General features: G+C 42.2%; 1 long non-coding RNA gene across 1 annotated transcript, besides 2 other annotated features; it reads right to left on the bottom strand.

Annotated features, from left to right (window-relative positions):
• LOC124904348 (uncharacterized) lies at window positions 10,805–15,401 on the bottom strand. The gene is made up of 2 exons (XR_007066452.1): window positions 14,814–15,401; window positions 10,805–11,533 (listed from the first exon to the last, which is right to left on the bottom strand). It is a non-coding gene; the product is annotated as an uncharacterized LOC124904348 (long non-coding RNA).
• Window positions 13,577–14,339: an enhancer, noted in NCBI's record as "H3K4me1 hESC enhancer chr1:115055021-115055783 (GRCh37/hg19 assembly coordinates)". NCBI's record gives its function as "activates a minimal SCP1, AML or CMV promoter by ChIP-STARR-seq in naive H9 embryonic stem cells {active_cell/tissue: H9 hESC(naive)}" and the evidence as "EXISTENCE:reporter gene assay evidence [ECO:0000049][PMID:30033119]".
• Window positions 15,200–15,369: an enhancer, noted in NCBI's record as "active region_1546". NCBI's record gives its function as "activates an Ori minimal core promoter by ATAC-STARR-seq in GM12878 lymphoblastoid cells {active_cell/tissue: GM12878}" and the evidence as "EXISTENCE:reporter gene assay evidence [ECO:0000049][PMID:35858748]".

The following is a 15,449-nucleotide window of genomic DNA, read 5'->3' as shown; positions in this document are numbered from 1 at the left end:
TCTCCTGACTCAGCCTCCTGAGTAGCTGAGATTACAGACACATGCCACCATGCCAGGCTAATTTTTGTATTTTTAGTAGAGATGGGATTTCGCCATGTTGGCCAGGCCGGTCTCAAACTCCTGACCTCAGGTGATCCACCTGCCTCAGCGTCCAAAAGTGCTGGGATTACAGGTGTGAGCCACCGTGCCTGGCCAATTTGATATTTTTTAATAGAGATGAGGTTTCACCATGTTGGCCAGGCTGTTCTCAAACTCCAGACCTCAGGTGATCTGCCTGCCTTGGCCTCCCAAAATGCTGGGATTACAGGTGTGAGCCACCTTGTCCGGCCTACATATTACACTTATAATCACAATTTTTTATGACATTGTGTAACACAGAATAATATGATTCTCCCAAAAATGTCCGTTAATAAATCCCTGAAACGTGTTCTATTACCTGGCAATGAGGAATTAAGGTTGCAGATGGAATTAAGGAACTGATCAGCTGGACTTAAAATAGGGAAATTCTCTTGGATTATCTGATGGACCCAATGTATTCACAATAATCCTTTAAGTATGGAAGAAGGAGGCAAAAGATCAGAGTCAGAGAGAGATTGGAAGATGCTCTATTACAGGCTTTGAAAATGGAGGTAGGGGCTAGCATCCAAGGAATGCAGGTGGCTTCTAGAAGCTGGAAAAGCTAAGAAAATGGATTCTCCCCTAGAGCCTACAAAAAGAATACAGCTCTGCTGACATCTTGATTTTAGCCAAGTGAGACCCATTTCAGACTTTTGACCTCTAGAACTATAAGATAACACATTTTTATTGTTTTGAGACCCTGTTTGTGGTCATTTGTTACAACAGTAATAGGAAACTGATAGAGACATATACTGGAAGCAGTAAATAGATGTATAATATCATGTTATTTGAGATACACACTAAGATTTTAGAAGATTTTTAAGAAAAATCAAGCCAGATGCGGTGGCTCATGCCTGTAATCCCAGCACTTTTGGAGGCCAAGACGGGAGAATAGCTTGAGCTCAGGAGTTTGAGATCAGCCTGGGCAACATGGCGAAACCCCGTCTTTACTAAAAATACAAAAATTAGCCAGGCATGTTGGTGTGTGCCTGTAGTCCCAGCTCCTCAGAGGCTGAGGTGGGAAAATCACTTCAGCCCGGGAGGCAGAGGTTGCAATGAGTCATGATCGTGCTACTGCACTCTAGCCTGGGCAACAGAGCAAAACCCTGTCTCAAAATAAATAAATAAATAAAAATAAATCAAAACAGCAAAAATTTGGGAGTTATTCCTATGTTACTAAGAAAACTCAGTTACCAAAATATACTTCACAAGCCCTCTAATGAACAAAGTTTCTGCTTAACTATATTTTAAGACAGCAAGTATAGTAATTTTTAAAAATTACTTCCTTAATTTTTATTTCATTATGTTGTGATTTTTGGATTCCATGTTTTGATGTTCTTGATTTTCTATCCTTCTCCACAAAATGTCCCATAGCAAAGACAATTCAATTTATTTACTAAACCAGTTCATTTTCCTCCTGCACAGGTAGAAAGACTACATTTCCCAGTGACTCTTTCAGCTAGGTGGGGTCATGTGACTAGTTTTGCCCTATGGAATTCAGGTAGAAGTGCTAAATAATCCTTCACACACAAGCCTATTAATCTGTCTCCCCCTTCTCTGGGGTCTTGGAGGACAAATGTTGATGGCTGCAATATGAAACCAGGTGAATGTACTCCTACTTCCTGCCTTCCTGTCCTGCACTGTACTGAGATATGAAAGAGGAGAGATGCATATTTTTTGAGTTGGGCTATTGAGATTTGGGGATTGTTTTTTACAACAGTTGGTTATAATCTATATTCAACCATGCTAATCTATATTCTAGTATTATTTTAAATTCTTTAAAAAATATACCATACACATGTAACATTGATTTATAATTTCTATATTAGTCAAAACTTCATTTAACTGAAAGTTACCAGAAAATTTTTTAAATGAGAAAGAGGTTGATTTGTTTGGTATGTCCAGCTGTAAATAGTTCACAGCTGGTATTGGGAGTTTAAATTTTGTCCTCAAAGACCCAGGTTCCTTCTACTTTCCTGCCTTGCTTTCTTGCTAATGGATGCCACACATCAAATATTTTATACATTCCAAGCCATCAGGAGGAAAAGGAAGAGGCAACAGCAGCTGACTTCCAATTAAGTCTCATTAAGACAGAATTGAGTCACATGGTCACACTTAGCTACAGGAGAGTCTGGGAACATACTTCTCTATGTTAGAGTAAAGCAAGCAAAAAAGGGTTTGGAATGAAGGCTGAGTGAGCCAATCTACTGTATCTGCCATTATTTATGCAAACAGACAAGAATTTAAAGAGCTAGCAATAACATTTTTCCAAGTTGTTAAAGTAGTTGTAATAAAATCAGCCTATTTAGGAAGTAGAAGTCAGATAAGAAGAAAATTTGATATACTATATTTACTAGACAATGGATATCTATTAAAATTATTGTGTGACGTGTCTCTAATCTTATAAAAATTGATCAACATCTCTCTAGCTATATAGTTATCTATCTGCTTCATGCTTCAATTTATAACTACTAATATTGATGTCAATTAGAGCTGTTTTTCTCCCTTGAGCATGTTAAAAACATGGTATACATAAATGACTGCATGCCCTGGTTTTCCTAGGACAATCCCAGTGTAATTATTAATAGTATCCCCTTTCCTTCTGAACTGTTTTGGTTTAGATAATACATTATATGGTTTTCCTCCATATAAAGAACAAGGGCAGATGAACTGGTCCAGGTAGAGCTGTTATTTATGGTCTGAAAGGCTAGGTGTAGTGGCTCACACCTATAATCCCAGCACTTTGGGAGGCCAAGGGGGAGAATCACTTGAGGCCAGGAGTTCAAGAACAGCCTGGTCAACATAGTGACACCCTCATCTCTAAAAAAAAAAAATTTTTTTTAAATTATGACTTGAAATGGTTTAATAGTCTATTCTCCCAAAATGAATAAATCATACTTGCATTTCATCTGGAGCCCACAAGGATGCCTCTTGTGCATTACAGAAGATCAGGAGGAATTCTTCTGCTTGGGCAATCCTTATAGCCACAAAAAAAAGTCAAAATTTCTGGGGACTGAGAAATCTCAATTCCTCTCTTTGCTTTCCTTCTTCCCATTCAACTTTGATACTACTTTCTTTTGTACTTGTTAAGAATAGTTAACTGAGGCCAGGCACGGTGGCTCATGCCTGTAATCCCAGCACTTTGGGAGGCCGAGGCAGGCGGATCACTTGAGGTCAGGAGTTCGAGACCAGCCTGACTAACATGGCGAAATCCTGTCTCTACTAAAAATACAAAAATTAGCTGGGCATGGTAGCACACCCCTCTAATCCCAGCTACTAGGGAGGCTGAAGCAAGAGAATTGCTTGAACCTAGGGGGCGGAGGTTGCAGTGAGCCGAGATTGCACCACTGTTCTCCAGCCTGGGCAACAGAGTGAGACTCTGTCTCAAAAAAAAAAAAAAGAATAGCTAACCAAATTTCCTGCAGCTGAGGCATAGTTGGGGGTGGAAGTGGGTGTTGAGGGCAGTGGATGACCTTCTAACAATATAGGCATTAAACAGGCAATCTTAGAACCCCCATAAATGTGGAAGGCATAATTAATCCACTGTATACTTGAATCATATACATTATTTAACAATACTCAACAAAAGTTTTCATCTTTGGGAATTTGCCCAATTATTTCCTTATTTTTGTATTTTTTGGTAAAGACAGGGTTTCACCATGTTTGCCAGACTGGTCTCGAACTTCTGACCTCAAGTAATCTGCCCTCCTCAGCCTCCCAAAGTGCTGAGATTACAGGCATGAGCTACTGCGCCCGGCCTATTTATTTTCTTAAATTAAACAAATACACCATTAATTTTGTATGCATAATGCCAATTTGTTGTCCCTCTTATAGAATATGGAACTACATGTTTTCTCACATCTTCTACAACAATAAATAATGTTATCTTCTTTGATCATCTGATCTGTGACACATGACAGCCCTTTTTATTTGCATAGTTTTTTTTGTTACTAGTGCATTTTAAACATTCTAAATATATTTAATGGTCATTTATTTTTCTTCTTCTGCATTTGGTTAGTCACACTCTTTGTCCGTTTTATATTGAATGCTGTTTTTCTCCTTGGCTTTTTAAGGAGTTCTTTCTATACTAGTGTAACCAGTATGATCTGCTCCACAAACTTAAGGAACAAATGTGGTCAGTTACAGCTGTTAACTTTCTCTATTATAGTTTAAGCCTCCCACATACCCTAATCAGAAGTCATTTTTCCCACTTGTGTTTCGCCCGCCTCTCCTCTGAATGTCCAAGAATCCTAGTTGTAGGGGGTGGGGCTGGGGCTTACTCAGCCACAGACTTCTCTTCTAAATGCAGAGAGAACTAAAACTGGTGTCTCCTCAGTCCTCCTTTGCCACTGGGCCTTAAAGATAAGGTAAAGTCTCCTTCTTAACTTCAGAACTGGGTGAGCAGAAACTGGGGTCTTGGTCCCCTTTATCCTATAAGATTGAGCCTCCTGAGGCAAATGATCCACCTCCTCTCTGGTGACTAACTAGACCAAAGGATGAGGCAGTTTTTGCTAATCAAGAGAGAAACACTCGGTTGGGTATGGTGGTTCATGCCTATAATCCCAGCACTTTGGGAGATCGGTTGAGGTGGGAGGATTGCTTAAGGGCAGGAGTTCGAGACCAGGCTGGACAACAAAGCAAGACTGCCCTCCTGCCACCAATTCTTAAAAAAAAAAAAAAAAAAATTAGCCAACTGTGGCAGCGCATGCCTGTAGTCCCAGCTACCACCTGGGAGGATAAGGCGGGAGAATCACTTGAGTCCAGGAGTTTGAGGCTGCAGTGAGCTATGATCATGCCACTGCACTCCAGCCTGGGCAACAGAGCGACACCCCAACTCTAAAAAAGAAAGAGAAACACACACATTCCGCAAAAGGTTTTATTATTATAGAATCTTCTTGCTAGGTTTGGTGAAGTGGATAGTCATGGAGAAGTATGATTGGATTGAAAAAGTATGACCTAATAATAAACTGGAGAGAAGTTACTGAGGTCTGTTTTGCTCAGATTCTTTTCTGTGTCCCTGTGTTTTCAGAGATAAGGATGTTCCTTTTTTCCAGGAATAGGGAGAGCACCTCTTAAATGAGGTTCTTATGAGCTGCTTCAGGGGAGAATGAAGAAGCAAGAGTGACCTACCTGCTTTTGCTGTTTTCTCAAATGCTAAGGTGCTGTATTTGGGGGGTATCATGGCCGGAATCCCATTACTTTCAAATTATTCATTTATTTTTATCAGCTTGGACTCTTTGTTTCCTGTTTTATTCACTGGGTTATAATCCATTAGAATCACTATTTATTTTGATACTCAAATTGTTCCAGGTTTGGCTAATGGGAATCCATTCAAGCTGACTTCTCTGACCTTTTAACTTGTTGTTATCATTCTATAAGGACTACCTTACCTTCTGTCACAACAAGATATCCCAGGCTCATCTTGCATTTTCCTTGCTCCAGACTTGGGATCAGTTATTTAAGCAAAGGGTTCTTTTTAAAGGAGGATAATATTTAAAAGCCAAGATCTGGGTACTGGTGTATTTGTTGCTATTGGGATATTGTTGCCCCTAAGCCTCTCAGTGGACAAGCCTAAGGAATATATGTATTTACATACATACAAACATACACATACATATGTTTACATCTATATTATTTCTATAACTATCTATCTATATATTGACAGCCATGAGGACACAGAGTTACCACAATTCCAATCCAGCACTGCAAGGTTCATTCTTTTTTTTTTTATTTCTGAGGCAGAGTTTCACTCTGTCTCCCAGACTGGAGTGCAGTGGCACAATCTCGGCTCACTGCAACCTCCGCCTCCTGGGTTCAAGCGATTCTCCTGTCTCAGACTCCTGAGTAGCTGGGATTACAGGCACCCACCACCATGCCCAGCTAATTTTTGTATTTTTAGTAGAGATGGGTTTTTGCCATGTTGGCCAGGCTAGTCTAGAACTCCTGACCTCAGTTGATCCGCCCGCTTCGGCCTCCCAAAGTGCTGGGATTACAGGCATGAGCCACTGCGCCCGGCCTTAAGGTTCACTCTAATTTTCTCTTTCTACATTTGTACTTAAGAAGAATTTTTGTTTGTTTGTTTTGTTTTGTTTTTGAGACAGAGTCTTGCTCTTGTCACCCAGGCTGGAGTACAATGGCTCGATCTCAGCTCACTGCAACCTCTGCCTCCCAGGTTCAAGTGATTCTCCTGCCTCAGTCTCCCAAGTAGCTATGATTACAGGCACCTGCCACCACGCCTGGCTAATTTTTTGTATTTTTAGTACAGATGGGTTTTCACCATGTTGGCAAGGCTGGTCTCGAACTCCTGACCTCAGGTGATCCACCCGCCTCAGCCTCCCAAAGTGCTGGGATTACAGGCGTGAGCCACCATGCCCGGCCAGGAGAATATTTTTTTTAAATCATTTGTTTATTTGATCAATCTGCCTGTGTGTAAACAATCCCCCCTTGTTGCTGCCACATCTCTCCCTTTGTGGATGTCCTTCTCATTGTACTGGGATTCTGATGTGTAATGAAAGGTCACACCTCCGCACTGATGACCTACTTGACCTTCTTGGGCTATCCGTGCTGGGTAAACCTTTCCCATGAAAGGCTGTTCCACTGGGCATCTTCCTTATCCTGTTCTGGTTCCAACACCCTGGAGGCAGTGATATTCTTCCCCTTAACCAAGGCTAATCTACTCATCTGTGTTCTACAACCCATTTTCTCCCAGATTCCTAGGGAGTCTGCTTTGTTAAAAGTTTCCTTTCTTTATTTTCAAACTCTGTATCATTGTTGGTTCTTTTTCTTAAGCAGAAACATGGTCAAATCTTTCCTGTCTTTTAAACAAAATAAACTCTCTTCAGAGGACTTGCACAATGAGTACAGAAAACATTTAATATGTGCAAACTCTTTTATCCACTTTAAAGAGTCTTTATTGTGGCTTGGCATAGTGGCTCATGCCTGTAATCCTAGCACTTTGGGAGGCTGAGGCAGGCAGATTGCTTGAGCCCAGGAGCTCAAGACCAGCCTGGGCAACATAGGAAGACCTCGCCTCTACAAAAAATACAAAAAACTAGCTGGACATAGTGGAGTGTACCTGTAGTCCCAGCTACTCGGGAGGCTGAGGTGGGAGGATCACCTGAGCCTGGGGAGGTCAAGGCTGTAGTGAGCTGTGATCTCACCACTACACTCCAGCCTTGGCAACAGAGTAAGACCCCATCTCAAAAAAAAGAATCATTTATTAATTTTTTGAATATTTAATAAGCACCTATGTGCCCAGCACTGTGAATTTTATTCGCAGTAGAAGTAGATATCATCTCTGCTTTCATGGTGAGAGAGACAACTATAAATCAGATAATAACACTTATGAATGCATTATTACAAATCTAGACATTAATGATAAAAGAAAATATTATGTGCTTCTATGTGTAAGGCCTTGTTCTAAATACTTTCCATGTACTAATTTAATCATTAAACAGCTTATTATATATACTATGAATATAGTTGGTAACTATTATATACACTTTATAGATGATGAAACTGAGGCAGAAAGAGTTTACGTTTTCCAAGGTCATGAAGCCAGTAGGTAACAGAGCTGGAATTTAAACTTAGACAGTCTGGCTCCTGCTCTTAACCACTAAACTCTACTGCTTCTCACAAATAGCTCTGAAGGAGACAAATGGGGATCTATGAAAACATCTAACAAAGAAAACTGATTTAGACAGGAGCTTTTCTGAAGGAGTACTACTTGAACTGAGACTCAAAGTTTGAGCAGGCATTAATTCTGTAACGTGGGTGATGAGGAGGGGGAAGGGGTGGAGAAATGATCATTCCAGCTAGAGGACAGTATGTGCAAAAGGCCCAAGGGAAGAGGGAACATAGCACAGTGAAGAAACTGAAGGCCAGTGTATCCAGAATGTAGAAAGCAAGTGGACAGTAGGGCATGGTGTGGTTGAAGAGGCAGTCCAGGTAAGATAATAAAGTCATAAAGCCTTAAGGATTTTGTTCTTCGTCCTAAGAGCAATGGGAAGACATGGGAATGGCGGTTGGGGGAGGAGGGATCAGGGAGTCACAGTGCACTCAAAGATAAAGGGGTGGTATTTTGAGGGTGTTAAGTTGACATAGGGTGGTGATAGTGGACATGGAGACAAATGGAGAGATTTGGACAAATATTTAGGAAGTCAAATTGACAGGACTGGGTAATAGATTAGATACAAGGGGTCAGAAGTTGTAGGTTTCAAAGATGACCCATCCTATATCCAATCTGCCAACCTATATCCAAAAATCCAGTTGATTTTTTTTTTTTTTTGAGACAGTCTCACTCTGTTGCCCAGGCTGGAGTGCAGTGGCATGATCTTGGCTCACTGCAACCTCTGCCTCCTAGGTTCAAGTCATTCTCCTGGCTCAGCTTCCCACGTAGCTGGGATTACAGGCATGCACCACCATGCCTGGCTAATTTTTGTATTTTAGTAGAGATGGGGTTTTGCCATGTTGGCCAGGCTGGTCTCAAACTCCTGACCTCAGGTGATCCACCCGCCTCAGCCTCCCAAAGTGGCATAAGCCACCATGCCCAGCCCAGTTGATATGTTTTCTAAATATCTTTATTTCTAGTGCTGCTAAGAGAATGTAATACCATCCACTGAGATAGGGAATGTGGAAAAAGATCAGGAGGTTTGGGGGAAGATTATTGAGTCTTGGACATGCTGAGTTTGAGATGCCTTTAAGACATCCACATGGAAACATTAAATAGGCAGTTGTCAAGATGGGCCTGGACCTCAAAGAACAGCCCTGGGCTGAAGATATACACTTGGGAGTTTTCATTGCATAGATGGTAAATGAACCTGTGGCATGGATAAGTTTGCCAGCGAAAGAAAATTGATTAAGAGAAGCGAATCTAGAGTTGAGAAAGCCCAACATGTAATAAGTTTATGCTCAGGAAAGGGTTAACTGGATTGCTCAAACCTTGCACATTCCAAAGAAAGGTTTGTCTTTAGAACTGCCTTTGACTAACTCCTGGGAAATAACTTCCAAGTCCTTGGAATACTCAGTCTAATGAGTATTTTTGTATGCCTGAGGCCTTGGGTCACACCGTATCAGTTTGACCTCTGAGGCATGGAGTCTGAGTAGCTGAGGTGAATGAATCATGTGGGTGTGGCAAGCATATGTGACTGACCCCTAATACAAAAACTCTGGACACTAGGGCTTAGGTAAGTTTCCCTGGCTGACAACACTTCATGCATGTAGTCACATGTCTTTTTTTTTTTTTTTTGGAGACAGAGTCTTGCTCTGTCGCCCAGGTTGGAGTGCAGTGGCATGATCTTGGCTCACTGCAAGCTCTGCCTCCCAGGTTCACGCCATTCTCCGGCCTCAGCCTCCCAAGTAGCTGGGACTACAGGCACCCTCCACCACGCTTGGCTAATTTTTTGTATTTTTAGTAGAGACGGGGTTTCACTGCGTTAGTAGTAGATCGGGGTCTTGATCTCCTGACCTTGTGATCCGCCTGCCTCGACCTCCCAAAGTGCTGGGATTACAGGTGTGAGCCACCACGCCCGGCCGTCACACTTCTAATTAATGAGAATTAATGCTCATAGAGCTCTAATGGGAAGGGACATTTGAGTTTGTTTTCTCCTGGATTTTGCTTCATGGGCTTTTTCCCTTTGTTGATTTTAATCTGTATCCTCATACTTTAATAAACATAAGCACAGCAGATTTTCTGAGTCCTGGGAGTTCTTCTAGAAAACCATTGAACCCAAGTGTGGTCTTGGCAACACTGACAGTGCGTAAAAGAGAAATAGCAGTCCAAGGGACAGGAGGAAAACCAGGAGACAGTGGTGTCATGAGAACCAAGGAAGTGATTCCAGAAGGGGGAGTGGCCAACAGTGTTAAATCTCCCAAGAAAACAAGTAAGGTTAGGGATAAAATATGTTCACTGGAGGCCAGGAGCGGTGGCTCACACTTGTAATCCCACCACTTTGGGAGGCCTAGGCAGGTGGATCACCTGAGGTCAGGAGTTCAAGACCAGCCTGGCCAAAATGGCGAAACCCCATCTCTACTAAAAATACAAAAATTAGCCAGGTGAGGTGGCGGGCGCCTGTAATCCCAGATACTCAGGAGGCTGAGGCAGGAGAATCACCTGAACCCAGGAGCCAGAGGTTGCAGTTAGCCAAGATCGTGCTACCGCACTCCAGCCTGGGGGACAGGGCGAGATTCGACTATTAAAAAAAAATAATGTTCACTGGATATAAAATTATGGAAGTAATTAGTGGCCTTAGCAAAAGCTGTTTTGGTAAAGTGATGGGAGTGGAAGCCAGGCCAGAGTGGACTGAGGGATGAATGGGATGTGAGGAAATAGAGATTTTTATTTTATTATTACTTTTAGAGACAGGGTCTCAGTCTGTCACCCAGGTTGGAGTACATTGGCACAATCACAGCTCACTGCAGGCTCAAACTCTTGGGCTCAAGAGATCCTCCTACCTCAACCTCCCAAGTAGCTAGGACTACAGATAAGACATCACACCTGTCTAATTTTTAAAACTTTTTTTTGTAGAGATGGGGGTCTTGTTATATTGCCCAGGCTGGTTGCAACCTCCTGGTCTCAAGTAACCCTTTAGCCTTGGCCTCCCAAAGCACCGGGATTACAGGCATGAGCCACAGCGCCTGGTCATGGAAATAGGGATCTTTAGGAAAAAAAAAAAAAAAAGGAAAAAAATTGCATGTTAATTTCACTTTTTTATTTATAGTAGCAAAATACATCAAAACAATTTAATAATCCATATGGAATACTTTAAATTTACATATTAAAAACTTTTACAATGGGCATATTCTTTGAATCAGCAATTCTTTTAGGAATATTCAGAAGAAATAATTATAGATATGCAAATAATTATGCATCACAATGCTTTTCACAGTATTGTTTATAATAGTAAAAAATTGAAAACCTTATTGTCTATGAATAGATAATACATTACAGTACATTCACATAAGGAAGTCTATTTATTGTTGAGCTATATTTTACTGGTTGCAAAAATTAAGAGATGTGTGTGAAAGCACTTTGTCAACTGTAAACTGCTGTTCAAATGTGGTGTTTATTACTAGAATTACAACGTGCCCCTGAAAGGCCTTAGAGACACAGAAAAGCCAATAGATAGTAATTAGACTCAGAACTCTGCTATCTGTCCTGCTTTTCTTGGTACTAATAGTTCTCACTCAGACAACAGAGTACCTAGAAGTCAAAGTGTACTTGGTACACCATGGAATGATGAGAACTAAACTTTACATTATTTTTAAAATTTGTATTAATAAATTTTTTTTGTAGAGATGGGGGTCTTGCTATGTCGCCCAGGCTGGTCTTGAACTACTGGCCTCCAGTGATCCTCCTGTTTTCCTCCAAAGTGCTGGTATTACAGGTGTAAGGCACCACACCCAGTTGAGAAGTGAACTTTAAAAGATAAAATGTCACCTTTAGATCCTCTGGCCTCACCCATTGGTGAGTGCAAGTATTGTACATTTACAGAAATATCCCAGATTTCAGCTGCAGCTCAGCATCCTTCTGCCGGTTCTCATGTACTCTTCTGTTCCTGCTGTTCAGCATGGCTGCTCTGTCCAGAAGGTGCAGACCAGCCTTTGCAAATCTTCACGCTACCCTTGGGCTACTGCCTTGCTTTTGCCAACCTCCTGTGCCCAGATGATGGACACATCGTGTTCTCACCATTGCTTACCTACCTGGGTCACTCACCTCCAATGCCCTTTCTCTTTCCTAGACAACTGGAAAACTCCTTCCACTATTGTTTACCAGCAACTTAGAGGAGTTTTCTTCATAGCAGAACTGCTATGAACCTCCTAAGAGCTCTTTCCTTTATTTCAGAACTGGTTTTTTCTGATAATGCTCAAACCAGAGGAACAAGGGATAGTAGCCTAGGTCAGGAAAATGGCTGGACACAGCCTCTACCTCTACCTGCTGCTCAGTTTGGGCCACAGCATGATTCCTCTTCTTGAAATTTTCTCTCAGTGGCATGTGTTTCTCCTGCCAGTTCTGTTTCCTTCAGGGAACTTTGGGTCTACTTTAACATCCATGTTCACCATGTGCTGGGTGCTGTTATTAACGTTTTACAAATATTGTTTGTGAGGCAACCTTGAGGTAGGTCCTACCCGTAGCAAACACCCTTTCATGACTGAGGGAACTGAGGCAACCTAAGTAAGTTTCCCTAAATCACATAGCTAGTAGGTGATGGAACCAGATTCAAACCAAGCATTTTGTCCCAGGGCATAATGAACCCCATGCTATGCAGTCTATTAGACAGGTTTGTGCATTATCGTATCTCAGCCTCATCTGTGGACTTATTTCATAGTTTCTCCTGCAAGATTTCTGGGCTCCCACAGAAAATCAAGGATGTAACTGGGTCTGTTTCAATGATCCTAAATATTTCATGAGTTATACTCCAGGCACTGCCTTCTCAGAGCACACAGTGAACTTCATGGGGGCTGTTTCCATCCTATACAAATTATATAGTTTTCAAAAACAACACTTTTATTCTAGATTTTAATAAAGGCAAATGTAGCAGGCATCAAAAGGTTAAGAAAACTCATGGAAGCAAAACTTTTGGTTGAGAAATTCAGTTCATTAGCTTATTTTTTTGAAGTGAATTTGAGAAGAAGTGTTTATGATTTATACTCCATATTTTTCACCACCTTTACAGATTCTAACCTGATCCAACCAACCGAGTTATTACCCTATTAGCCCCTTAACTGGTCTTCCTTATTCCACTGACCATTTACAGGTGATTCCTCTAGGAAGCAGCCACAGTGACTCTTTTCACAATTCTGCTTTGAGTCTTTGCTCAAAACCCATCCAAGCCTTCCTATCTGACTCAGTGGTCCTAAGGCTAGGGTATGAGTACTCCTGGGGTACTTCAGTGAAGGAAAATTTTCCAAGGGGTACATAAAAAAGTAAGGGTAGTTTTAAGGGAATTACTCCATCATATATGTGAGTGTGTAGATACATACATGTATACATATATAGTTTTTAATGCAGTAAAGACTGTGGCAATGAAAAATGGAGTTGATACAGGACCTTATCTCATTCTAGCAATGTTATATGCATTCATGCCTACTCGAAATAATTAGGGGAAGGGGGAAGACTCCCAGCCATATCATTAAAACATTCCCAATACTTTTCCATGTTTAAAAAATATAACATTTTAATATACTTTAAAAAATGGATAGTATTAAGCCACTTTAGTGTTTACTTCCCTATTAGATTAAAAATAATTTTTAAATGTCAGTATTACAGAATGTCACAAATTAAACTCTGCAACTATTTAAACTTCTGAAAAAATTTAGTCAACTTACAATGTTTGAGGAAAGAAAACAGCCTTCCAAAATTCTTTCAAAGGGCACAAAAGTTAAAAAAAAAATTGAAGACCATTTCTGTACATGACCTGGCTCCCTTAATAACTCTCTTATCTCATGTCCTACTATTCTCTCCCTTGTTCAAGCCACTCCAGCCACACTGACTCCTCCTCTAACAAGCCAAGAATCCGTTTCCCTCAGGCCCTTTGCACTTGTTATGTGTTCCTCTCCTGCTCTTCTCCAAGACAGGTTCCTTCATCTGATCAACAGGGGCCTTCTTCAATCACCTCTAACCCCTTTTACCCCACTTATTCTTTTCTTCACAGCACTTACCACTCCCTGGCATGTATCTATTCTCAATCTTTTTCTCTATTAGATTGTAAACCCCTTGAATGCAGGGAGCTCCTCTGTTTTGTAATCCCAGTGTATCTCTAAAACACTATGACAATAAAGAGGTCAGGAAACATTTTTGAATAAATTTTAAAAAGTTTTCAGGAGGCTGGGCGCAGTGGCTCATGCCTGTAATGCTAGCATTTCCAGCGGCTGAGGCGGGCCAATCGCTCGGGCCCAGGAGTTTCAGCCTGGGCAACATGGTGAGACCCCAGCCTCTTCGAGGCAAAGGGAAAAAAAAGATCAGCTAAGTCATGGTGGCGTGCATCTACGGTCCCAGGTAATTGCGAGGAGCACGGCTTGAGCCTGGGAAGTCGAGGCTGCAATGAAATGTGATGACGCCACTGCACTCCAGCCAGGGCGACAGAACGAGGAGGTCTCAAAAAAAAAAAAAGTTTTCACGTGGTTTAAGGACTTACAGCACCTTTCTTGGGAACACTAACAGGAGACCAAAGCATTTCATGATCTTAACACTAAAACAGTTGTTGCACTACATAAAATCCTCCAAATACCTTTTTTTTTTTTTCAAATAAAAAGGCAACTTTCTGAAAGCTTTTCTTTTTTTTTTGAGACGGAGTTTCGCTCTGTCGCCCAGGCTGGAGTGTAGTGGCGCTATCTCGGCTCACTGCAGCCTCCGCCTCCTGCCGGGTTCAAGCCATTCTCCTGCCTCAGCCTCCTGAGTAGCTCGGATTACAGGCGCACGCCATTACACCCGGCTAATTTTTATATTTTTAGTAGAGACGGGGTTTCACCATATTGGCCAGGCTGCCCACGAACTCCTGACCTGACCTCAAGTGATCTGCCCGCCTCGGCCTCCCAAAGTGCTGGGATTACAGGCGTGAGCCACTGCGCTTGGCCTGAAAGCTTCTACTACCATTGTTGTAAGGGCATTTGTCACCCAGCTCAACCCAGGACACTTAAAGTGGGACCTCAGAAGGACGCAGTATTGGTTATATCCGTGGCTCTCCAAACTGACATACATAAGAATCAGCTGAAGGGACTTTTCCCCCTCCGTCGGCTCTCTCCCTCACTTCCTGATTCAGGTCTGGGGACTGGCCCTGGCATCTCTGCTTTGAAAAACTCCTCCGTTGATTCTGATACGTAGCAACTCCTGAGAATCACCTTAAGATGCCAAAAATAGCTGTTAAAGAGTTTCTTCCTCACTCGGTCTTTTCAGCCTATTTCTGATAGATCCTCAGTTCAAAAACAAAAAGCAAAAAAAAAACAAAAAAAAAAACCAAAACCAAACAAACAATAAGCCCCGCTTTAGTGCTCCACGGCCACCCAAAGGAACGCGGCTGGTCTACGCACAGCAGAGACCCAGGAGGTCCCGGCGATCGAGCGGCGCGGCAGGTGAAACTTCCGCGGAGACGCCCGGGACACGCTCGCAGGGACCGGAACCGTCCCGGCTACCACCCTTCCGTATGCACCACCGCTGTGTCGGAGTTCATAACCAACCCCAGCCAAAGGCTACCCAGCGTCAACGGCCTCTGGCTTTAAAAAAAAAATCTCCCTTCGGGTTAAAGAGCCGCGGCACTGACGCAAGGAACTGGCTTCGAGGGTCCGGGACCGCTCCGCGCCCGCGAACCGAGTTCCCGCCTCCCTCGGGAGGACGT

This window comes from Homo sapiens, chromosome 1, assembly GCF_000001405.40.
Source record: "Homo sapiens chromosome 1, GRCh38.p14 Primary Assembly".
NCBI lineage: Eukaryota > Metazoa > Chordata > Mammalia > Primates > Hominidae > Homo > Homo sapiens.
This window is presented reverse-complemented; position numbering and strand designations above follow the sequence as displayed.